General features: G+C 36.0%; 1 protein-coding gene across 15 annotated transcripts in view; it reads left to right on the top strand.

Moving 5' to 3' along the window:
• FBXW7 (F-box and WD repeat domain containing 7) overlaps positions 1-26744 on the top strand; it is a 215549-nt gene that overhangs the window by 79064 nt on the left and 109741 nt on the right. The window contains exons 1-2 of one of the 15 annotated variants that reach the window (XM_047415901.1): positions 670-6147; positions 6649-8577. The exons of 13 other annotated variants lie outside the window; for them this stretch is intronic. The gene's annotated coding sequence lies outside the window, so the exon portion shown is untranslated. Of the gene's footprint in view, positions 1-669; positions 8578-26744 lie in introns of those variants that run through there. One more of the 15 variants, XM_047415899.1, reaches the window with a different exon arrangement.

The raw sequence follows: 26744 nt of genomic DNA, 5'->3' as shown, positions 1-26744 counted from the left end.
TAGTATTTCATTTTTAGTATATAGTACAATTTATTTTTTGCCCATTTCCATTTAGCTGTTATTGCTGGATTGGGTTATTAACAGTTATTGACTATTATGAATAAAGTGGTCACAAATGTTGGTGCATGGTTTTTTATGTGGACTTGTGCTCTTATTTCTGCTATGAGTGGAATGGCTGATTCATATAGTAGGTGTATGTTTACCTGTATAAGACACTGCCAAACTTTTCCGGTTTGTATCAGTTTATATTACCACTTGCAGTGTATGAGCATTCCAGTTGCTTCACATCCTCAGAATTCTTGGTATGGACAGTATTTTAATTTGATTTGTTTTAGTAGCTGTATAATAATGTCTTATTGTGGCATTCATTAATCATTAGGAAAATGCGAATTATGTTGAACATCTTTACCTATGCTTGTTTGCCATTCACATCTTTTTCTGTTGAAGTATTTTCTCGAATCTTTGCTTATTGATTTATTGATTTATTTATTTTGAGTAAGAGTCTTGCTCTGTCTCCTAGGCTGGAGTGCAGTGGTGTGATCATAGCTCACTGCAGCCTTGAACTCCTGAGTTCAAGTGATCCCCCTGCCTCAGCCTCCTGAGTAGCTGGGACTACAGATGTGTACTACAACACTTGGCTGTTTTTTTTTTTTTTTTTTTTTTTTTTTAAGGATTTTTTTAAAGAGATAGGGCCTGACTGTTGCCCAGGCTGGTCTCAAACTTCTGGCCTCAAGCCATCCTTCCACTTCAGCCTCCAGAAGTGCAGGGATTACAGGCTTGAGCCACAGTGCCTAAATTTTTTCATTGTATTGTTTGTCTTATTATTGAATTATAAGAGTTCTTTCTATGTGCTAAATACTAGTCCTTTGGATAATTACTTGCAGATTTTTTTCAGTTTGTGGTTTGCCTTTTTTTCTTTACCCATGTCTTCTCAAGTTCAAGTCTTTTATTTTGATGAATACACATTTATAGTTTTTCTTTTATATTTCATGCTTTTTGTGTTGTATTTTGGCAGGCCAAATAATGACCCCTGAAAGATGTCCATATCCTAATTTCCAAAAGCTGTATATATGTTACCTGATATGGCTCCACAAACTTTGCATATGTGATTAAGTTAAAGATTTTGAAATGAGGAGATTAGCCAGGATTGTCCAGGTGAGCCCAGTGTAATCAGAGAGTCCTTGTAAGAAGGAGGCAAAACCAATCAGGGCAGAAGAGATGAATGACTGCAGCAGAGGTTGGAATGATGTGCTTTGAAGATGAAGGGAAGGGGCCATGAGCTAAGGCCATGAGATAATAAATTTGTGTTGCTTTACACCAAGTTTATAGTAATTTCTTACCACAGCCCATATAGATTTTGCCTGTAAGTGGAATGCCGCTGTAACAAATACCTAAAAAGGTGAAAGTGGCTTTGAAATTGGGGTATTGGCAGAAGCTGGTAGAATTTTGAGGAACATAATGGAGAAAACCTAGATTATCTTGAATGTACAGATGGTAGAAATACAGATGTTAAAGGCTCTGCTGGTGATGCCCCAGAAGGAAGTGAGGAGCACAGTAGAGAAAATGTGTATCGTCTTAGAGAATACCTAAATCATCATAAAGAGACTGTTGGTGGAAATGTGAACATTAAAGGTGCTGCTGCTTGTGAGTGCTTTGAAGGAAATGAGGAAGATGTTATTGGAAACTGAAGTGAAGGAGATCCTTGTTTAGATTGTAACAGAAAGTTTACCTGAATTCCGTCCTGTAGTTATGTGACTAACTCTCCTGTGTTGCCTGGGTATAGCAGCAATCATTTATACATACATTTGCAGTTCTGTTCTGTACTTGTTATAAAGTAGTTTTAATTAAAGTGACAGATTTATGTTTTTATAAATTAAATTTATATTTAAAAAATCAGTATTTAGAACAAATATCTTAGTGGACTATATTCTTGAGATATTATTATTAAAGTCTTTTTACAGCTTCCTTTCAAATAAATGGATATGTAATTTAAACCTTTAATTTCTGGATTTCCTGATGACTTTTCTTTAAAAAGAATAATTTTTAAAAACACATTTTAATTTATAACTAAAATGGTTATTTAAGGAAACACATATATTAGTTTTATTTAGATATATGCTTTTTTATTATTAATTTGGAAAGTGGAGGTGCATTGTTTGGTAGAATAATTTTAAATGGTAGCTCTTGTTAATGGCTAATATTTATTAGTGGATACAACTTACAAATATCTGTACATTCAGTCTTTATCCTTATCTTCCATATCTTTTTCTTCTGCATTCTAGGTTTTTTTGTTTGTTTTTTGGAAGGAGGATATATAAAGTAATTATTACTACATTTTTAGCTGTTGCCAAGTTGAAAGTCAGTGTTTAGTTTTTTTTAAAAAGGGCTATTTAGTGTGGAATTCCTAAATATTATAGTTCCCTCTTCTGTCCTTTCAGAGCTATTGCACCCTGTTAAATTTTTTTTGCATTCAGTTCAACCAGTGTTTGAAAATTACCAATAGACTTAAAGTACTTCTCTGAAGTTAGAAGAGCTCCTATGTCTGATGCTATATTGCTAGTATTTCTATTCAGGTTGGAATTTGGAATAGTCATTATCAAAAGTTATTTGTAGGCAAAAGAAAACAAAAAGAAAAAAGTTATCTGTAGGAAATATTGGAGACTGGGGTACAAGGTAAGTGACACAGTGAAGAAGCACAGACAATTTCAGAATATGAGACACCTAACATGGTTTCTGCAAGGTATTGGCGTGGAAAAAAAAAAAAAAGGGGGGGGGGGCTTAGAGAGTTACTCTCCAGTAAAAGAGATATAAGAAGCAGTACTATAGTTATATACAAAGGGTAGTTCTTTGGATTCTGTTTAGATCAAATTAACTAGAAAATACATTTTTAAAATAAGATGGGGAATTTGAATATTGACTGGTATTACTTAATATCGTGGAAATATACTTATTTTGAATGTGTATAGTGACTTTGTGAGTATGAAAGGCAGTGGCCAAATTATTTAGTGATACATAATGATGTATATGGATGAGGGAAGTAATGACGTGATGTCTGGAATTTACTTTAAAATACCTTGGAAAAAATGAATAAAAGATAGATAAAGCAATATTGCTAATATTTCAGTACCTGTTAAATATAGGTGACAGTATATATATAGAGGTTCATTATACTCCTTTCTCCACGTTTTGAAAAATTTCATTTAAAAATTCAAAAAAATTCTAAAAAATATTTTTTCTTTTAGAAACTAACACATGCTGAAAAAATTCAAATTTTGTTCACTGACCACGTTTTTGCTGCCACCACTCTTTCAACATTTAAAAAATGTTCTTAAATCTTTAAAAATTCGATTTACATTTTCATTAAGAAAATGAGGCATTTGCTGGCCATTTCATCCTTCCTCTTGTATTTTTTCTCCTTACCTGCTGCCACCGTTTACTAGAAAAATATTTCTCTTGTTTTTTCTGTACCTTCTCCTTGAAATATAAAAGTTCAGTGAAGGCAGGAGAGATTTTAGCCCGTTTTTGTATGGCTGCATCTTCCTTATCCATACCTGCATAGCATGTGGTAGGTGCTGAGTAAATATTTGAATGACTGAATGGGTGACTGAATAGACTGAATGAACCAGAGTTGTAGAAGACATGGGGTGACGTGGGGTTTGGCTAAGGACAGAACCAAGGAGAACCCCTTTGAAAATTCACTCTGTGGGATTTACAGGGGAAAATGTGGGCTACTACATAAGAAATTAAGATAAGAAATCATCTTTCCTGTTTGACTGTAAAGCCTTAATATTTCAAGCATTTAACATATTCTCAGCATAAATAATTAAGTTTTTTTCTTCTTTTTTCTGAAACAGTCTCACTCTGTTGCCCAGGCTGGAGTGCAATGGTGCGATCTTGGCTCACTGCAACCTCCGCCTCCCAGGTTCAAGTGATTCTCCTGCCTCAGCCTCCCGAGTAGCTGGGATTACAGGCATGTGCCACCACGCCTGGCTAATTTTTTGTATTTTTAGTTGAGACGGGGGTTTCACCATGTTGGCCAGGCTGGTCTCAAACTCCTGACCTCAGGAACCCACCTGCCTCAGCCTCCCAGAGTGGTGGGATTACAGGCGTGAGCCACTGCGCCTGGCCAGTAATTAAGTTTTTATACTGTAAGTTCTCTAATTGTCTTTAATGTATTCTTGAAAGTGTTTTCCTCCTAATTTATTTATTACTGCAAGGCAATCCGTTCTTGAGGTTCTATTTAAAGTTTATGTATTTCTTCTCAGGAAAAAAAATTACTTAAAACTAGTGGTTTGTACAGTCAAGATGAGTTTTAGAAGCTGTTCTTATAATTTCTTTTTATGTTAAACATATATAATGTCACATTTCCCTTTTCCTAACAACTGATCTTCTTTCTTTTTCAACGTGTATTTATAAGCTAGATTTTTAAATTTTGCTCCAGGGACTGCTGTAGTTGTTCTACTACTTAAAAAAAGAAAGATGTTAGTATTGAACACTATTCTGAGACACAGCTGATAACAATTGTGCTCAACAATGAAGATGGCTAAAAATTGGGTTTTAAAAATAACAGTGAAAATTCAGAAGCATTTTATACTTGCTATTCTAAAGTGAGTATTTTTCTAATCTCTGCTTTAAAATTACTGAAGTCCTTTTAATGACCAACGCTGTATTTTAAGGAAAAAATGTGAGCAAAGATTTTTAGTGATTCTAAATTTGTTTTGCTCTCTGGATCTCTTTAAACTTTTAAAAATTATTGAAGACCCCAAAAAGCTTTGACTTATGTGGGTTATCTCTCTTGATATTTACCCTGTTAGAAAATAAAGCTGAGAAGTTTAAATAGTTTTCATTTATTAAATTTATTTAAAAATAACAGCTAATTACATGTTTACACAATTAACAAAGTCTGGCTTACAGGAAGACAGTTGGATGCTCATATCTGCTTTTGCATTCAGTTTGTTAGGATATTACATGCTCTATACTCTGACAAAAACTTTACTTTGTGTATACTCAAGAGACAGAGTAAAAAACATAAGTAACATCTTAGTATTATAGAAATAATTTTGATCTTAGAAACTCCATGTAAGTGTCTCAGGAACTCCCAGGGTTCATATTTTGAAAATTGCTGGAGTCATCTCTCAGAGGCTATGTGTGACAAATGGTGTTTTTAAATGAAACAATAATTTTTAAAATATAGTGTCAATTGGCTAAGTTTTTATTTGATACTTTTTTTTTCTTTTTTTTTTTTGAGACAGGGTCTTGCTCTGTCGTCCAAGCTGGAGTGCGGTCACAGCTCACTGCAGCCTCCACCTCCTGGGCTCAAGTGATCTTCCCACTTTAGCTTCCCAAGTAGGAAGTAGGTGGGACTACAGGCAAGTGCCACCATGCCTCAGTAATTTTTGTATGTTTTGTGGAGACAGGGTTTACCATGTTGCCCAGGCTGCTCTCATACTCCTGGGCTCAAGCAGTCTACTTGCACCCAACTCAGCATCCCAGAGTTCTGGGAGCCGGATTCTTATTTGATACATTTTTACCTTTAGGGGAACTATAAAAATTAGCTTATGCTTATTTATGCAAATAAATTTGAGCATTGAGGAAGGATGTCTCTTGTTCAGGGTTGTGTTTGTAGATTTCACATCTTTTAGACTACCATTTAAGAGAAGTGATCACCTTGTATCTTAAGGAAATGAAAATCATTTGATAGAAATGGATTGTTAAATATTTTTAAAACAAGTTTTGACAGTTACTTGCAATTAAAGGGGAAAGCAACTTTAAAATGCATTAGTTAATTGAAGAAATACTCAAGATCCTTAATTGTTGTTAGTGAGCAAGTATTAATGTTCTTTCCTCTTTGAAAACGTATCTGTACCTAGACAAAGTTAATTATAAACTTTTTCATAAACAATATTATGCTTCTTTTTCTTCTAATTTTTAAACCTTATCTTTGTTGGTTTGCCTTCCAGCTCCATCTATCTGCAACCTAAGAATCAACAATACTATACATCAAATTAGCTGATGTGGAAGGAAAATGATAAATAATGAAAATACGTCATATTGCTTATACTCTAAGTTATAATTAATATAAGATCCAAGGGATATTGGTGTGGGGGACGAGGAGGAAGGAACATTGCAAGTCAAGCTATTTCACAAGTATTCTATACCTTTGAATCTTTTATTTCATAGTTTTCTTTAGAAACAATAGTGATGCAGACTGAATAGCTAGTAAGATAACTTTCATTAATAGCAGTATGGCAGGGATTTTTAATTGATGCTTGTTGGTAATATTAGACACATGATTTATTTATAGGCTTTTAATTAGAAAACTAATACAAATATCAAATTGTTATGGACAGGTTATACATTTTTTGGCAACACAAATCCTACCAGGTTTTAATGCCTGGTACTTGTTTTTACATTAGTATGTGGTATTAATTTTTTCATTACTACTCTTAGCTTCCCTAGCTTACCCATTTGCTAGGAGTACATAGCAGCACTAGGACATTTTTCGCTAACGTGGCTGGCATGCATCTGAAAGTGTGACAGAGCAGGGGTATAGCTAGATTTTAGAAGTTCTTTTGCTCATTTAAGAAACTTAAACTTCAGATTTGATAGTACTTCAGATTCTACATAATGTGCTCTTTCGATGAATAGCTGTGTAGCAGCAGCACAGGAAAAGCAGAGTTCTTGGCAATACCCAGTTCAATTGCATCTGCAGATGAGGATTTAAAATTCTGTGCAGCAGACAGTACCTCCAGCAGGCGAGTAAAAGGTTACTGCATTATTTTTCTTGTTTGTTACCATAGCCTTTATCTACCAAAGGATTTTTAAAAAATTGAATGTGAAGTGCATGCCTGTTTTTAGATATTCTGGAAATTGATTTAAGTATAACATGAATATCAAAAGGGCAGTGCAAGGTGAAGGCAGAGGCAGTGCTGGATCTTTTTAGCTTTAAACCAGGGAAGAAATTGAGCATGTTACATACACAAAGAAGAAACCTTTCAGTGTCACAGACAATGGGAAGTTTTAAAATACGTATTTTAATTCAAGGTGTTTATTATTTAGTTTTAGACTATCTTCCCCAAAAAGGGTGCTCTTACATTAGCAATCATTGGTCTATGAATGTTCATTTAAGTTACAGTAATTTGAAGTATGATTATTTGTGAAGACTATAAAGTATTTGTATTAATGCGACCCTCCCTTGTCCTGGAAATTGTAATGTGGATTAATTACATTGTATAAACAAATACCTTTGTGCATTATTGGCAAAGGTAGAATGCTTAAGTATAAAAGGTATAGTATAGCTAGCATACTTAATATTGTTGCTTATGTTTTCAGGGTGGTTTGTGGTTTTTAAAATAATCTTTTAAATAAAATGCAGACAAGTAAGTGGGAGAAAATTCAGTATCAAAACAATGAGGTTTTTGATGGCTTTTTACTTGTGGTCAGTACCTACCTATATAGCCATATGTCCTTTTTTCTCATTAAAACTCTTCTAACATTTATGATAGCAGGAGCCTCCTTGGATTATCCAGCTTGTTTATTACATCATTATCTGCACCAGTATTTTTGCTATAGATTTTTATTGTTCATTACTTCTCAAGTCTACATAAAGTATCCAGAGGGAATTTTTGCTTGTATATTTTATTCAGTTACCCTCCTACCCTCTTCCATCAGTCCTCAAAGATTTGTATTAGCTACTGTCTACATTTTGTTTATTTAAAAAATACTTAGGCCTATATTTTTGTATTGTAGATTGAATAATAAGATTGAAAACAATTCTGTAAATTAATCTATAGTATAGAAGTAAAATTTGTTGATTATTCTTACTGTGAGTATTTGGCAGGCTTCTTGAATTGTAGAGTCATAAAAGGTCAGCAGTTCTGATTGGTAAGTTAAAGAATCCATCCAGTAATTTGCTCCCTGTTGTTTCTCAAAGCAATGCAGCAGCAGTTCTTTTCCAGATATTAAACGGTTCTTGAACAGTGTGTGTGGAGACGGGGAGGGGTGGAGCTCATTCCTGTTGGTTGTTGAAATCGTGTGCATTTACAGAGGGAACAGGTTGGATAGGCTGAGCTGAAGGAGTAGGCAAACAGATCTAAACTGATGGAAGACAGAAAGTGGTTAGTATAATTTTGGGGTGTCTTGAGTTTGCTCCTTTGTTAAGTACTTGGGCTTTAATATAAAACAATTTAAAATATTAAAGCACCTTACCTTCTTTCTAAAGAGTAGCTGGGAGACTTCTGTTTTAATATCCAGTTTTTCTTGGCGATGAGTTTGTGGCTGGCATCTTCTGTAGCAAAGCTGTTGTTTTATTCTTTTTTAGTAGTGTTTCTTTCAGCCAGAGAGCTGCAGAATGAGGCAGTTTGACAATTTTGAGTATATATGTGACATCACCAGTTCTGATTTTTTAAGTCAAATTCTCATCTAATGAGCAAGTCAATGTGTGGCTGTGGCTGCAGCATTATTTCTTCTTTAATGAAGAGGTTGAGCCGTTCGACCTGCTGCTCCGATTTGTTCTCTTGTAGCCATACATCAGACCAGTTGCAGAGATTATCCATCGAATGTCCCAGGCAACCAAAGGTAACTACATAGATTTATTTCAAATAAAAATATGCAATGAAAATGGATGCATTATGACTAAGACCAAATGATTAAAAATAAAAGACCAATTAAAGATGTTCTTAGCAGTTTTCTTGACCTTGCAGTAGATATCCAATATCATTTTGTCATCATCAGATTGTGTAGCAATGGAAATGCACTGCAGTAATTGATTTTGTAATAGGATCAGGTGATTTACTAGCTGCACTGACAACCACTTGCTTGCTTGCTCTGAGCTGTGGAGCACTCTAATGGATGTTGTGATTTCAGCCTGGAGTTTATGTGAGACTGCCGGCCACTTAAAGCAGCAGCACTTATTTTAAAGATTAGATTAGTTTTTCTTTCTTGTTTTCTTCGTTTCAAGTTTTGTGAGTAGCCTCAGTAACTTTATGGTTAAGTTGTATGCCTTCATGAAATTTTAGAGATTATATATTATTTCATTCATCAATTCATAGTCTTTCTGCTCCATATTCCTAGCTAAATATCAACATATTCTGGTATTGACCATGAGAGCATATCTCTAAAATATGAGAGTTATTGGTAACTATGCTGTGTTATCTAAATGAAGTGGAATATTCCTCACATTCGTAGATTTCATTAGCTTCAGACTCTAGCTGTAATTAGAATGATGGTAAGGTTCTTGATCTCTTGAGTTGTACTGCAGTTGTTTTGCATCCTTTTTTGGTCTTTTACTTTCTTAGTGGTTTCATGGGTAAGGCACCATTTAGGAAATATGAGTTGTATTACTTCTAAGGGATACTGATGAGGATATATAAAGCTATTTTAAAGTAGTGTTTAAGGATATAGCAAATTAAAAATCTAATATCAAGTATTATAAATTTCAAAGTGATTATTTTAAAATAATTTTTGTTTTCCTTTTCTATGCCTTTTAAACAAATAATTGGTTCAAATATAGAAGTGTAGGAATATTGCTAACTGTAAAATAGAACTACTGTCATAGAAACTCAGATGCTGTCAAAGACTTTGATTACTTAAAAGTTTTGCTGATGGTGTTAGATTAGAAAAGAAACTCTCTTCCACTCCCTTCCTCACCAATACCTCTACCTCATGTAAAGTGTTTTATACAGACTCCACCACATAAAAATACTGAATTCTTTATCATTCCCTGTTTCTGTTCTTGCCATGATAGAGACACCATTTCTCTCAACCACATCTAAAAACATTTACAAAAATTAAATAAGATTAACAATTTACTGTAGTAGAAACGGGGCATAAAATTGTCATCACATGTGGTATTCAAATCACCATGTTAAGAGAACTTTCCTTTTTGATGTACTCAAATAGTCACTTGTAGTGTTTGAAGCCTTAGTGTTTCTAGAAAGTTGAAAATATTATCTGTGCTAGTCTGCACATTTCCTTTAATTCAGATACTTTAAACATTAATTATGGAAAATTGAAAATAATTTAAACACTAGTATTTGTAATCTTTTATTATTCAACAGGTAAAAAGTTTATAGACTCTCTTGACTTCCAAGAAAAAAACCCTTCTGTGAACACTGATGAACATAAGCATGTTAATATCATTTAGGATTCGGTCAAGGATGTGTCTGAATTTCATATATATTGAAAATGTTTAATGATGGGCCACCAGCAAATTAATCATGGATATGTTTTACTGGAGTGCCGTCTATGACAGCTTCTTTTCATGATGGGTTCAGCAAATAGGAAACGAGGAAGTAAACACCAGAGTGTTGACTACTTTTTATAAAAGTTAGAAAGATAACTATGATTGGTCTGTGATTAGACAGTATTTTATGTAAAATAAATGGGCAGCGTGAAGTTCTAGCCTCAGTGGAGCTGCCTTTTCTAAAGAGCCCTGGATCGAGCATTAAAAGAGTTGGATTTAATTTGGCTCTGCCATTAATCTATTTGATAACCTTGATCAAATTATGTATGAACATTTTAAAGTCCCTTAAACATGCTCTTAAAATGTCCATTAAAAAGATTTCAATTTACCCTTACCAGTGGGAAGTATTAGAATACTTGACCTTGAAGCTATAGAAGTTAGAGTTAGGAAGAAGGATGAAGTTTCTTAAAGAATCAAGTTGTAGGTGATGTTAAAACCTCTCCTTTCACTTTTTATGTCTTTTTTTGGGGGGGTGGGTGGGTAACATGTTTTTGCTAAGAATACTGTTTTATCTCTTTGATATCCAATATTTCCTAAGTAGGATAGTAATTCTGGAAATTATCCTAGTGGTTAATAGAATAGACCTGGGATTAAAATCTGGTGCTGCCAATTTTTTCTAGACTTTCTAACAAAGATAATGTCATTAGGGAGTTTATTCAGTACCTAGGATATTTTTTAGTAAACACGTTTTAAGAAGGTTGGCCATTATGTTATTGGTGCTTTCTTCCTGTATGGCCTATTAGATAAGCGCTGTGCAGTCATCTTTGTTGCCTAGGCAAAATGGTTTGTAGGTTCATTGATTGAACTCTTACTTTGGACCAAGTGCTGTACTAAGCACTTTGGTTTTTTTTTTTTTTTTTTTTTTTTTTTTTTTTAAAGACAGAGTCTTGCTGTGTCACCCAGGTTGGAGTACAGTGGCGCGATCTTGGCTCACTGCAACCTCTGCCTCCTAGGTTCAAGTGATTATCCTGCCTCAGCCTCCCAAGTAGCTGGGATTACAGGCACCTGCCACCACACCCAGCTAATTTTTTTGTATGTTTAATAGAGATGGGGTTCTGCCATGTTGCCCAGGCTGATCTCTAACTCCTGGCCTCAAGTGATCTGCCCCGCTTGGCCTCCCAAGGTGTTGGGATTACAGGTGTGAGCCACTGTGCCTGGCCTGTACTAAGCACTTCTATGTTAATTATGTCATTTATGAGAAAGACTCTAATGATTATTTTTAAAGATGAGAGAACTGAAGCTCAGAGAGGTTCTACAACTCCTAAAAATCACACAACTGGGAAATAGCAGAACCAATGTCAAAACTTTAGGCATCAGCCTGCTGCTCAAAGGAAGTGCTCATTGAAGCGCTTCGGATTTTGAAATTTCTGATAAGTATAATGCAAATATTTTTTAAAAATCCCAAATCTGAAACATTTCTGGTTCCAAGCATTTCAGATAAGAGATACTCAGTTTGTATTTGTACTTTCAATTAAGCTGTGAGTGTAGAGATGAAGCCAAATTTCATCTGAAGATGTAATATAAATGATTACCTAATTTTTTTAGTCTTGAATAAGAAATGATTTGTTCACCTCTTACTCAGCAATAATTCGTAGGAAAAATTATTCATATAAAGCATATTTGTACTATTTGGAGTAATGTTTTCCAAAGTGTGGTTCAGGGCTGGGCACGGTGGCTCACATTGGTAATCCTAGCGCTTTGGGAGGTAGAGGCAGATGGGTCGCTTGAGTCGAGAAGTTTGAGACCAGCCTGGGACACGTGGCAAAACCTCATCTCTACAAAAAATACAAGAAAATTAGCCAGGTGTGGTGGCATGTGCCTGTAGTCACAGCCATGTAGGAGGATCATCTGAGTCTGGCAGGTCGAGACTGCAGTGAGCTGAGCTATTATTGTGCCACTGCAGTCCAGCCTGGACAGCAGAGTGAGACCCTGTCTCAAACAAAGAAAGTATGGTTCAGGAATCACTTGTATCTATCACTTTGGATGGTGGTTAAAAGTACCAGTTTACATCAGGGCACATTGAAAGAATCACCGGAATGGGATCCAGAGATCTTTGTTTTTAAATAAGCCTCTCACATGATTCTTGGTTATACCAAATTGTTACAACCAATGATATTGAGAATGTTTTCCTGTTTTACCTTGTTTCTATGCCTTGCAGCTTTTCCTTTAAGAATTTGTTTACAAACCATAGATGGTTTGTAAAATTATCCTTCTGACTTATGGTGAAATGTAAATTGGTTCTTTTGTGGTACTCATTTTAGGAACTTGTTTAGGATTAAAAGTATTCATAAACTTTGACTCAGAAAACCTACTTCTAGGAATTATAGAGATAATTCCTAAGGAGATACTCAGATTCGCAGGAAGACTTAGGCACAAGGATGTTCGTACCATTATCATCTATAATGGTGAAAAACTGGAAACAACTCAATTTCAAACATCAGATAAATGGTTTGTTTTTTATATCCATTTGTTTGGACTAACCATCCAGCCATAAAATGTTATATGGGGAAGATTTTGTAAGACATAGGAAAGTGCTCATGATTTAATGTAAAGTCTCGAAGAATATAAAATTATGGTCATACATATATGTACATATAGTGCATATGGTCTTAGGTTAAATCATATGAAATTACCGTTTTTGTAGGTCAAGAGTAGTAGAATATCAGCATTTTCATGTAGTGTAACCTAACATGGCACCCATTTTTAAAGCACATGTTTGTAGAGAAGCACATGTTTGTAGAGAAGCACATGTTTGTAGAGAACGCTTTGTAGAGAAGGAGCTGGAAGGAAATACAGCAAATTTATAAAGTGATTATCTCTGGATGATGATATTATGGATAATTTGAAATATTTCATCTTTACATGTCTTATGTTTTCAAATTTTCTACTATACCTTAGACTCAACCTTTGAAATAGGACAAAGTAAATTAATAAAACAGGGAACAGTTGCAAACTTTCTCTGAAAAACATTAAAATTTTTTAGAAGATTGTAAATCCTTTAAGCTAGTATAAGGACCCCTTTATACTAATATTCTTAACTCTTGTATTAATTATTGAGTGTGTTTATGCAAATGGATCATATATGCCTTTACCTACCCACCCAGCAAATTTTGATTGGATTTTAATCTGCAGTAGAAAGTGTCTTTCAAAAGAAGAGAAAAAAATCAATTTTCAAAGTTTTTAAAAAGAATTGGGTTCTTAAAAGACCGCCAACTATATGCAGGAGTCAGTTGGGTAGCCACGTTAAGCACAAAGCCCTGTTTTAGGCTGTGTGGTTTTGATTTTTAATTGTAATTTAACTGATCGATAAAACTCTGTAGATTAAAATTAGTAATTTGTGTATTTATTTTAAAATATTACTGTATTTTTTTGAAAGGAAAATGTTTCTCCCACTTTCATACACTTTAATCGTTTAATTTTAAAGAAATAGCTTAATTAAAGTAACAGCTACCATATTCTGGTTATCTGCCATACACCAGGTTTTGGGTGCTTTAATATGTTTTTTGTTTTGTTTTGTTTTTTTGAGAAGGAGTTTCACTCTTGTTGCCCAGGCTGGAGTGCAATGGTGCGATTTCGGCTCACCACAACCTCCGCCTCCCGGGTTCAAGTGATACTCCGGCCTCTGCCTCCCGAGTAGCTGGGATTACAGGCATGCACCACCACGCCCGGCTAATTTTGTATTTTTAGTAGAGACAGGGCTTCTCCGTGTTGGTCAAGCTGGTCTTGAACTCCCAACCTCAGGTTATCCGCCTGCCTCGGCCTCCCAAAGTGGTGGGATTACAGGCATGAGCCACCGCGCCTGGCCTTGGGTGCTTTAATATGTTACTTCTTTCAATCTTCACCTAGAATGTATTAATTAGATATGAGCTTTGTTTTAGCGTTGAGGAGGCACTGAAACTATTATAAGCTTTCCTGAGATCATATTAAGTGGTGGATCTAGGTTTTTACCTCAGTAATGTCTAACTTAAAGACCCATGTTCTTATCCCTGATACTGTCCTTGTTGGTCTGTCTGAAACTTTTAAGTGTTCATAACTTGGGAAACAAAACTGTTGTATAAGCCTTCCTAATTCAGACTGTCAAAGTGTAGAGCAAAGTATATAATGAGTCATTATTGCTGATTTTTATTCAACTATTTGTTACCTGTCCTTTAATCTGGTCAGTACATGTGTACTGGCATTTAACGATCGCCTGCTAATAGCTAACCTCTTGTGTAAACCACTGGAAATACTAAAACAGAGAAGCCAAAAATTACTTCCTTGGAGTTTACAGTCCTAATGAGAGAGACAGACAACAAAATAGTTACAAGGTATTTCAGAACATAGGTATGGAATAGAACCTGTTGGAACAGAAAGTTTTTAAACTAATAATGTTTGGGAGTAGTGGTGAAGAGTTACTTGGGAAGCCATCTTGGAAGAGGTGAATTTAGAAGGAGCCATAGATTTCGTTTTTGCTACCAGCCTAGGAATTTACATTTTAATACAAGAACCCCTGCCTCCAGAGTGATCTGTAATTCTACTGAAGTTTGAGAACCACCACTGTAGATTGTAGTTGATGCTACGAGAAAGCATATAATACCCTGAGGAAGCTGTGTGGAGTGGGAAATGAGAAGTTGGAAACCTCAGAGCAACAACATTGCTTTGATAAGTAGGGGAAGTTATATGATAGTTACGATTAATATATTATAAGCAATATCTTTTAGTGCCTAGAAGTAAGATTGGAAATGTCTTGAATTTTGTATAAGATCACAAAACTTACAGGAAGAATATCAAAATTCCGATTGAGGTTACTTTTTTCTGGGAGGGATGGTGAAATGTTATTCTTTACCCTACAATGTGTGATTAAGAGTGAATAAAAATCGTGTTAACCTTTTAAAGATAATGTTTAAGAAACAGGTTTAATTTTTAAAAGAAAAGTGAGCATAGGAGCAAAGTTTTGTAACATATTCTGCTTCTATATAGGAAATTAATTCCTAAATTTTGGAAATGACTAGTTGAAAGTAATAGCAGTCTATCCTCCAAAGAGAGCTTTTTAAAATTTATTTTTTAGAATCAGACCTGGGTTAACTTTTAGATATAATTTGGCATAACCAGCAAGTCATTGGTTATTCAAAAATAAAGATTGGAAATAATTGCCATATAGTCTTGGCTCTTTGCGTATTTTGTGATACTGATTGTTGCTTCCTCCTTTACTTCCATTTTATTATTAGAGCTTCATTAAGAGTGAATTGAAAAGAAAACTGAATTTTATTATTTTAAAAATCTGAATAGTTGGATTGGGGCAACTTTCTTCCTATTTATGAGACTTCACTCATTTATGTTGGTCTTATATTGACATTAAAGAATCAGTGTCATATACTGGTGAATATTAACAAAGAGACAAGATTAAGATTAAAGAAATTGAACCTTTAAGCAGGAGGCGTGTGACTAATGGAGCAAATTTCTGAAAGGCTTAGGGGTAGAGAAAATCAAAGCTACTGATGGTATTAATAGTCTTAGAAATGATGGAGATTACATTTTTCCTCTCAGAGACAGGCGACAAAGAAGGGAGGAGTAAAGAAACAAAACCTTTGAGATTGAGATATCACAAGTTGATAGGTACACAGCTCTCTGAAAGCTTCAGTCATCTCAATAAGGAGAGGAACATACTTAGCCATATAAGTTCGAGTTGCTGAATATACATTCTATGTAGGTAGGTCTGTGTAATTTTGATACGTATTTTCTGTTTATCACAGTGGAAATTGTTCTTGATCAATGTTTTTATTTCAATAAGAAAGATATATTGCCGCTTCCATCTTAAAATTTCTACATAGAAGAGACATGACGCTTAGTGAACGTTATTGAAAAAAAAAAACCGTATAAACTTAAGCAATGAAGAAAGAGAAACAGTGTTTCAGAATGTTACAGTATTGAACCTGAATTGGTAGAGAGAATAGAAAGTGGTGTGAACAGTCAGGGTCCAAATGACATTCTATATAAAGCATATAGGACATGATTTGGAGCAGGGAGTGGGATGGGGAATGCTTAGATTACATCTCTTTACTAGATGGGTGTACTTGTTCTGTGCAAGGTACCATTTTCTCCCCTTTTTTGTTAGCTCATATATCCCTTCCCAGTTTTGAAGAGTGCTCCACTGGTATTTATAACTTTAGTGATTTGACATTTCAGGATATACCTGTTTCAGAAAATCATAAGAAGTTTTAAAAATGCCTTGATGTAAAACAAAATTTCAGGTAAACTTAAATATTTTAAGTTTTTAATAATTTGTGTTACCAAAATTAAATTTTGGTTAGAGTTTGACATTCCTAAGTGATAGAATCATCTTAAACACATGTTGTCAACAGAAATTTGAATGCTGAAGTCAATTTTTGTTATTGTTATTGTTCTGCTTAGTGAAGAAATGTATCCTCTCTAACCAGGGACAGTATGTACTGCTTTCTCCTTAATACTTTGAGATTTTCATAAAGAAAATAATTTCAAAGGTGTTGTGCTGCAAGCTAAAGAGATTATTTCTAAAGGAAGAATTTGTCATTCTAATGGTTGTCATCTTCCTTGTGGCATTATTATAAAATTAAGAAACTGAAAAAAAATTTTTTTAGAAGACATAGTATATACCAGAATTTAAATTTAGTTTGGCATAAGAGGCCACATATTCTACCTATGCTATTACAGTCTGTATTTGTTATTGCCTAATTTTGACTCATTTTGAATATCTCACTCCAGTCCTTTTTATTAGTATTTCTTAAAACAAAAATGGGCAATATGTTGGATTGACTGAAAATAATTTTTAAGTGTTTAGTAGCAATAAAATTTAATCTTTTAGTGCAGATTGGTTTACCCCATAACAGCACATATGGAAGAAGTAAAGCCAGGTCTGTATGAAGCAGGAGGTGACATTGGACTTTTTTTTTTTTTTTTTTTTTGTGACGGAGTCTTGCTCTGTCACCCAGGCTGGAGTGCAGTGGCACGATCTTGGCTCACTGCAAGCTCCACCTCCTGGGTTCACACCATTCTCCTGCCTCAGCCTCCTGAGTAGCTGGGACTACAGGTGCCTGCCACCACACCTGGCTAATTTTTTTGTATTTTTTAGTAGAGACGGGGTTTCACTGGGTTAGCCAGGATGTCTCAATCTCCTGACCTCGTGATCGGCCCGCCTCAGCCTCCCGAAGTGCTGGGATTACAGGCCTGAGCCACCGTGGACTTCTTTAAATAACCATAGTACAGGCAGTTACTTTTGTTATATAACAGTATAGTTGTCTCTGAAGAAAACCTGAAGCTCTGCAAAATCGGGCCCTGAAAATCGGTTTCTGAGTGGCTTGTTCCTGTGTAAACTTGTAATCTCTGTAGTAACGAAACCAGTACCCATTCTAATAAAAATATTATATAGCTAAATATTTACCCCAGTTAGTTCTAAGTTCTAGGATTTATGCTTTCTCCTTTGAAATGTAGGTCCTCGAGAACATTCATTTCTACTTATGATGAAATTGTGAAAACTAGTAAATCTGATCCAGGGTGTAGTTTTTATCAGTTGCCTCTCACCCCTTAAAAAAAAAAATTAACGTGGGAAAAATATTGTCATGGATTTTCTATCTGTACTCACAGCTTGACCAGATGGTTTTAACATTGTGGAATGCCTAGCAGTTTAAAGCCATTAACTAGCCTCTGGTTACCCTCTTCTGGATTTCTAGTTTTTTTCTTAAGGTCATCATGTATTGCTTAAGCTCTGTCTTTGTGAGAAAGCTTGTCCCTGCTGGCTTTAAAACTTTACTATGCTGGGGAAAATTTTGGACTAAAGTGACATTCACATTATACTGACCTCATCGCCCAAATGATGAATGAATGAACTAATGTACACTACAAGAACATGTCTTAATAGGAAAGTAGACTGTTGTCTGTAGTTGTCCCATTGTTTTATCATTGCTGCTACTATATTGACATGAAGTAGCAGTGGGTGTGCATGTTTGTATATTTTTTCTGTGCTGTTAAATAAGTCCACGCACATCTCCCATGTGGGTAGGGTAGTACTGGGTGATGGAGTAGGTTTACCAGTACCATTTGTCCCTTACTTTACTTGTATAGCTTTATGTTTTAAAATAGAGTGTTTTTGTTTTTTTGAGACAGAGTCTCAGTCTGTCACCCAGGCTCGAGTGCAGTGATGTAATCTCGGCTCACTGCAACTTTTGCCTCTGGGGTTCAAGTGATTCTCGTTCCTCAGCCTCCTGAGTAGCTGAGATTACAGGTGTGTGCCACTCCTGGCTAATTTTTATGTTTTTAGTAGAGACAGTGTTTCACCATGTTGGCCAAGTTGGTCTCGAACTCCTGACCTCAAGTGATCCACCTGGCTTGGCCTCCCAAAGTGCTGAGATTACAGGCATGAGCCACCGTGCCTGGCCACTTTTTGTTAGAATTAATACTTTGAAGATACCATGGATTTGGTTCTAGACCACTACAATTAAGCAAATATCATAATAAAGTTAGTCACAAGAATTTATTGTTTCCCCAGTGCATATAAAGTTATATTTACATGGCATTGTAGCCTATTAAGTATGCAATAGCATTCTGTCTAAAAAGTGTGCATACCTTAACTAAAAAATACTTTACTATTTATTTATTTATTGAGACAGTCTTGCTCTGTTGCCCAGGCTGGAGTGCAGTGGTATGGTATTGGCTCGCTGTAACCTCCGCCTCTCAGGTTCAAGCGATTCTCTTGCCTCTGCCTTCCAAGTAGCTGGGATTACAGGCACCCGCCACCACACCCGGCTAATTTTATATTTTTAGTAGAGACCGGGTTTCACCATGTTGGCCAGGCTGGTCTTGAACTCCTGACCTCAAGTGATCTGCCCACCTCTGCCTCCCAAAGTGCTGAGATTACAAGCGTGAGCCATCGCGCCTGGCTAAAAAATACTTGATTGCTAAAAAATGCTAACAATCACCTGAGCCTTCAGGGAGTCACGATCATTTTACTGCTGTAGTCTTGCCTCAGTGTTGATGGCTGCTGACTGATAGAGTGATGTTGCTGAGGGTTGGAATGGCTGTGTCAGTTTCTTAAAATAACAATGAAGTTTGCTGCATTGATTGACTCTTCCTGTCATGAACGATTTCTCTGTAGCGTGTGATGCTGTTTGATAGCATTTTATGCAGAGTAGAACTTCTTTCAAAACTGGAGGCAATCCTTTCAAATCCTGCCGCTGGTTTATCAATTAAGTGTATGCAGTATTCTAAATTGTTTAACTTTGTCTCAGGAAACTACTTTCCTTGCTCATTCAGAAGAAACAACACCTTATCCATTCAAGTTTTATTATGAGATTGCAACAGTTTAGTCACATTGTCAAACTCCAGTTCTAATTCTAGTTCTCTTGCTATTTCTACGCGCCTGCAGTGACTTCCGCCACTGAATTTTTTTTTTTTTTGAGATGGAGTCTGGCTCTGTCTCCCAGGCTGGAGTGCAGTGGCACGATCTCAGTCAGCTCACTGCAACTTGCGCCTGCCGGGTTCAAGTGATTCTTCTGCCTCAGCCTCCTGAGTAGCCCTCCACTGAAGTCTTGAACCCCTCAAAGTCATCCACGAGGGTTGGAATCAACTTCTTCCAAACTCCTGTTGATGTTGATATTTTGACCTCCTTCTGTGAAACACAGATATTCTTAATGGTATCTGGAGTGCAGTTATCCTTCTCAAAAGGTTTTCAATTTACTTTGCCCAGATCCATCAGAGGATTCACTATGTATATATATAAAACAGCTAATGTATTTCTAAAACAAGACTGGAAAGTAGAAATGACCCTTGATTAATGGGCTGCAGAATGGGTATTGTATTATTAGGCATGAAAACAACATGAATCTCCATGTACATCTCCATCAGAGCTCTTGGGTGACCAGGTTCGTTGTCATTGAGCAATGAGTAATATTTGAAAGGAATCTTTCATTCTGAGCAGTAGGTCTCAACAGTGGGCTTAAAATGTCTAGTAAAGTCTTGCAATAAATGGATGTGCTGCCATCTAGGCTCTGTTATTCCATTTGTAGAGCACAGGGAGAGTATATTTAGCCTAATTCTTAAGAGCTCTACAGTTTTTGGAATGGTAAATGAGCACTGTTCTACCTAAAGTCAACAGCAGCATCAGCCCCTAACAAGAGAGTCAGCCTGTCCTTTAGTTTGGAAGGCAGGTATTGACTTCACCTGTCCAGCTAGAAGAGTCATGGATGGCATCTTCCAGCAGGGGGCTGTTTCATCTACAGTGAAAATCTGTTGTTTAGTGTAGCCACCTTCGTCAGTGATCTTAGTTAGCTAGACCTTTTAGGTAACTTGCTGCAGCTTCTGCATCAGCATTTGCTGCTTTACCTTGTACTTATATGTTATCAAGACAGCTTCTTTTTTTAAGCCCGTGAACCAACCTCTGCTAGCTTCCAGCTTTTCTTCTGAAGCTTTCTCACCTCTCTCAGCCTTCATAGAATTGAAGTGAGTTAGGGCCTTGCTCTGGATAAAGCTTTGGTCTAAGGAAATGTTATGGTTGATTTGACCTTTTATTCAGATCACTCAAAACTTTTTCCATATCAACAATAAGGCTATTTCACTTTCTTATCATTTATGTGTTCACTGGAGTAGCACTTTTAATTTCCTTCAAGAACTTTTCTTTTGCATTTCTAGCTTTTGATTTAAAGTGAGACTCTTCCTTTTTGCCTGAATGCTTAGAGGCCATTTTAGGATTATTAATTGGCCTAATTTTAATATTGTTTTGTCTTAGGGGATAGGGAGGCCTAAGGAGAGGGACAAAGATGGGGGAATGGCTGGTTGGTGTAGTAGTCAGAATACACAACATTTTTGCCGTCTTCCATGGGTGCGGTTTGTGGCACCCCAAAACAATTACAGTAGTAACATGAAAGATCACTGATCATTGATCATCATAATAGATACAATAATAATGAAAAAGTTTGAAATACTGCAAGAATTACCAAAATGTGATACAGAGACATGAAGTTACCACATGCTTTTGAAAAAATTGTGCTGATAGACTTGCTCAACATAGGATTGCCACAAACTTCCAATTTTTAAAAAAATATACTATTTGTGAAGTGCAGTAAACTGCAGTCCAGTAAAATGAGGTATGCCTGTAAAACAAACCCGCAGAAAAAAAATCGTCTACTCAGAAGAGCACTGACAAGTATCATTGAATTATTATATCTACAACTTGCTAATCAAGCTAATGTAGTGTGAGTTGTAGATACAACCATTTTAATGCAGGGGTTCCTGAGATCTGAAAATTATTTTAAGTGTGCCTCCAGTGTAGAAAGATTGAGAAAGGTTGAAAGTGAAGATCAATAATGGGATGAACTGGAAATATGCCTACCTGATAATACAAAGCAATGAGAGAAACATAGTATCACTTCCGTCATATTCCTGCCTGCGATGCATAATGTGAATCCAAAATTAGACAAACCAAAATTAAGGGCCGTTATACAAAATGAATGGCTTATAATCTTTCAAAGTTGTTAAAGGAATGAAAATAAAGAAAGGATCAAGGAAGTATTTCAGATACAAAACTCAAATGGGTTCTGAGGAATAGACAGTCTGATATGTCAGTGCCATTTTCCTTACTTTAACATTTATATTGTGATTATGAAGAAGTATGTCCTTTTTATAAGAAATGCATACTTACGTGTTTGGTAGGGGATGGTGCATCATGTTGGAAACCCCTCCCCTCCCCTCCCCTCCCCTCCCCTCCCCTCCCCAGGCCTCTCGTTAGTAGTTTCCAAACCTTTTGCATGCTGAACCCATTGCTCAAATGAAGGCAGAATATTAAACATGTAAAGGAAGAGCTTGTGTGTGGGGGGGGGGGAGCGGGGGGAAAGGAGGTTGGGGGAACAGAGAATTAGGAACCCCTGAGTGACTACAGAACTTCTGAAAACCACTGTTCTGTAGGATAAAATCTAAACTCTGAAGCACATTATACAAACCTCTATCTATACACATCAGTTTGTCTGAAATTGTATATTTCTCAACAATATTGATCTATTTGTATTTCAATATGTTGTATGCTCTCATATGTCTGTATCTTTGCAAATGATATTTTCTTCTCTTTAACGATTTTTGTCTTACCCTGCTGGTAAGGAAGTCACCTTCCCTCTCCCTTCTGTATATCCTTGTCAAGGAACTATGGAAATTGAATGGCATAGGTCTTGATACAAGAACCTCTCTTTTCTCTTTATAAAAAAGTCAGTAAATAGTGGTGGAACATTCAGGAGAAAGTTGGGGACATAGAGACTAAGAAGGCAATGCAGTATTATTAGGACAGGGGGTAAACTAAGGCATAGAGGACAGATTTGATGAACATATTATCTTTTTTATATACATTATAAGAAGTAGAAGGCTAGAAAAGTGAACATGCTTGCTATTGCACGTCTCACTTTCCAATTTCATGAAGAAAGCAAAAACTACTTCTACTTTATTACTTCTTTTTGATGTTAATTGGTACCACATAGCAAGTTTGCATTATAGTACTGAGCTTTAAAATGCAAGGATATACTCATGTATATACACAGACAATAAATAATAGGTTCTTTTCCACATTCAGGAAGTGAAACTCAGCTGTCCGTACGACACTTACTGTCCATATATAGGCATCCCTCAGTATCTGCAGGGGATTGGTTCCAGGACCCTCACACCAAAATCTAGGTATACTAGTCCTGCAGAACCAACATATATGCAAAGTTGGTCCTCTGTATACTTGGGTTTCTATATCCCATTAATGTGGAGAATACTTTTGATATGTGGATATGGAGAGCTGACTGTATTTATTGAAAAAAAATCCACGTATAAGTGCACCTGTGCTGTTCAAACTCATGTTGTTTGAGGGACAACTGTATTCTGTTACTTCCTATAGTTTCTAAAAGCATTAACCAACAAATACATGTAAGATGCGTGGAATAATTTTTCCATTTCCTAGAAAATAGTCAATCATTTTTTTTTCAGATTGTGAACTAGAAAGCATAGTGAATATAGATTTTTAAACATGAAAATGTAAGTGTCCATTTTAAATTGTTATGGATATTTCTGTTTGCTGAAGTTCAAGACTGAAGACTACTGGAAAAAATCCTGTGACTGAGAGCACATAGATTCCTTCTTTTTAGGTAGAGCGCAACAGTCACCATGACTTCAGTGTTTGCATATGGAAGCTAAAATCTGTCTGAGAAAGGGCAAACAATCACAGGAGTCATTGATTTATTTATTTGTTCATTTTTAATGCAAATTTTAATTGAGTGAAAAAGTGGTGGAAAAAACAGTTGACTAAAGAAGATATGAGAAGGGTTAATACATGAAGAAGTCCTCAATAATATTAGCCACCATGGAGATGCAGATTAAAACCACAATGCCATACTACTTTCCATCCACAAGAATAGCTAAAATTAAAAGAAGTCAGTCACCACTGAATGTTGGTGAAAATAGGAAGCAGCTGAAACTCTCTTACATGGCTGGTGGAAGTGTAAAATGGTACCATTCCTGTGGAAAACTAATTGACAGTTTCTTAGAAAAAACACTCACCCTATGAGCAAGCACTCCTAGTTATTTACCCAGGAGAAATGTCCACAAATAGGCTGGCACAAGAATGCTTATAGCAGCTTTATTCAGAATGACCAAAAACTGAAAACAACTCCCCAACATTCATCAAGAGAAGTGATAAATAAATTGAGGTATATTCATACAATAGAAAGTACACAGGGACAGAAAAGAATGGATTTCTGATACATGCGACAACACGAATATCAAAAACAGTATGCTGAATTAAGGAAAAAGACAACAAAAGTAATGCAGCATGAGTCATATAAACATCATATAAAAATGATGTTTCAAAATCCACAAAACTAATCTGCACTGATGGAACAGTAGTTATCTAAATGTGCTAAGGAGTGATTAGAATGGGAATGGGACATGAGAAAAGAGGGAACTTTATGGAGTGATGAAAATATTCAATACCTTTTTCTTTTTGAGACAGTGTCTCGCTCTGTTTCCCAGGCTGGAGTGCAGTGTCGCGATCTCGTCTCACTGCAACCTGTGCCTCCCAGGTTCAAGTGATTCTCCTGCCTCAGCCTCTTTAGTAGCTGGGACTGCAGGCTTGTGCCGCCATACCCGGCTAATTTTTTTTTTGTGTTTTTAGTAGAGATGGGGGTTCACTATGTTGGTCAGGCTGGTCTTGAACTCCTGACCTCAAATGATCCACCTGCCTTGGCCCCCCAAAGTGCTGGGATTGCAGGCATGAGCCACCGCACCTGGCTGAAATATTCTGTGTCTTGATTAAGGTGTTGTATATATAGATATATATGTTTTTCAAAACTCACTGCGCTTTCTACTTTATATAAAAAGTACCTCAATTAAATTACATATTAATTGAAGGCAAATTAAAAACATCTCTGTCTGTAACTCTCCTACTGTGAGTCTGTTCCATGTTGAAGAATGCTCTTGTCTTCTTTTCTTTGCTCTTCTTGGTTGGGACTTCCCTGTTCTAATATCAGGTATGCTCACGTTAGAAAGCTAGGACAGAGGCCTAGAATACTGATTTTTTTCCATTTCAACAGGCAAGGTGACAGTTTTCCTAGAGTTCACAACTCTTGGTATTCCAAGTCAGCACATAGTTCACGGTGAAACATTCTCTAGGAGGTAGAGAGAATTGTGACCGAAGAATATGATAGGACCAAATAAGTAGCTATACTAGAAGGAAGCACATTTGAGACCACTACCCTAAACAGCCAATGACTACAGAACCAGAGAAAACCAGAATCTGCCAAATTTCAGAAATAACTCAGCATCTTTACAGGGAGCCTCTACACAATCACAATGAGACTCTGAAGAGTAGCAAGTACTGATTCAAATCCTTTTAGCTGTGGACTCCACTCTGCCTCACAATCATTTTAGAAGAGGGTTTTGAGCTTTAGAATAAGCCCACCACTGTATAAAACTAGTGAGTCTGTTTTTTAAGGTAGGATTCCCATCTTAGTAATCATAATTTTGGCATGGCAATTATTAAATATGAACCACAAGGAGAAAAAAATGTCCTCTTGTTATTACTTTTTAAATTAGGCATTTTAATTTCATTTACTACTGCTTGATACTCTCTTCTCTGGGTTCCTGGGAGGTTTCATTTGGTAAGTATTGTTCAGTAAAAATTATGGGACACCATTGTTTTGGACTGTGCTCCTGCCCTAGGCCCCAGTGGACCAGATCAAACTAAAATGTAGTCATTCATGTTAACTGCCACATAATCAAATAGAAACTTCCAGGAAGCAGACAGATCCCAAAGCAGACCATTTTTTTCCCTGAGAACAGGAGATTCCAGTCTAGCTGAATCCCCTGTGCTTTAAACCCTTAGAAAAAGTAAACTGAAGTAACCTGATATTAACAAATCAGCTTTTTTTTCCTGTTCTGTTTCCTTGTTCCCACCTTACAAAACCCACTGTTGTGCTGTTGCTCAGTAGGACCTCTCATTCTACCTTGCAGAATGGGGGCTGCCCTGATTCATGAAATGCAAATAAATGCCAGTTAGATCTGTAACTAAACTGTTGTAATTTTGTCTTTTGACAGAATGCAGTTAAAACTCAGGTATATCCACACTGCTTTTATTTCGTCTCCTTCCCATTTCAGAAACTCCTGTCTAGATTTCTTTTCTTGCTCTCTAAGGCAAACAATTACCACAGTTAGATGAATATGCCTGGCAATCGCTATTGACAGATAGACTCTCAGAAACACTCGTTCCATTTTCCTTTTCAAATTCTTGGCAGGAAGACTGGGTGGATATATTGAAGGAGGTACTGTTTGATTGTACTGCACACAGTGTGGTTTCAAAAATGTGTATTTGAATTGGAAAAGAGAAATATATGTCAGGCACTGGGGATACAATACTGACCAAAGGTATATACCCTGAATCCAAAAATAAATATAATGTAGTTGCTGTAAACATATTAATTTTAAAGATTGTCAGAAGAATATCCATCTTAGTTAGACCTTTGCAAGATATATAGATAAGAAAATTTCTGAAAGTTACATAACTAAAATAGAAACCAGTCAAAATGAACTTCATTCTACCCTGGTTTCTTCCCTCTAATGTTCTTATCTGTCAATACTGTGACTGAAAAAGCCAAACCTACCACCACCACCACCACTGACAAAATCCAAAAAACTACAGATATCTACAACATTAATTCTAACACCAAGTAACATTATAACCCACTTAAAACTGTTCTTTTTTCTTTCTTTTTTTAGTACAGACAGAACTTTTTTTTTTTTAATGGTAAGAAATATCATGATTTTCTTATAAAGACCTTCTGTATGTACAAATAAAGCTATACTATCATAGTGGATAAATCAGTAAACAATATCTTATGTAATCTGTAATTTTTCACACAAGAAATTTAAAAAGTTTTTCAGGTTATAGAACAGTATTTCTGGACACACCTAACAAGGCAGTAGCTGACATTCTCAAACTTCAAAACACCCTCACTTTCAATACAAATAATGCTGT

This window comes from Homo sapiens, chromosome 4, assembly GCF_000001405.40.
Source record: "Homo sapiens chromosome 4, GRCh38.p14 Primary Assembly".
Classification (NCBI taxonomy): Eukaryota; Metazoa; Chordata; class Mammalia; order Primates; family Hominidae; genus Homo; species Homo sapiens.
Note: the sequence above shows the minus strand (reverse complement) of the source record. Positions and strands in the feature narration are given on the sequence as shown.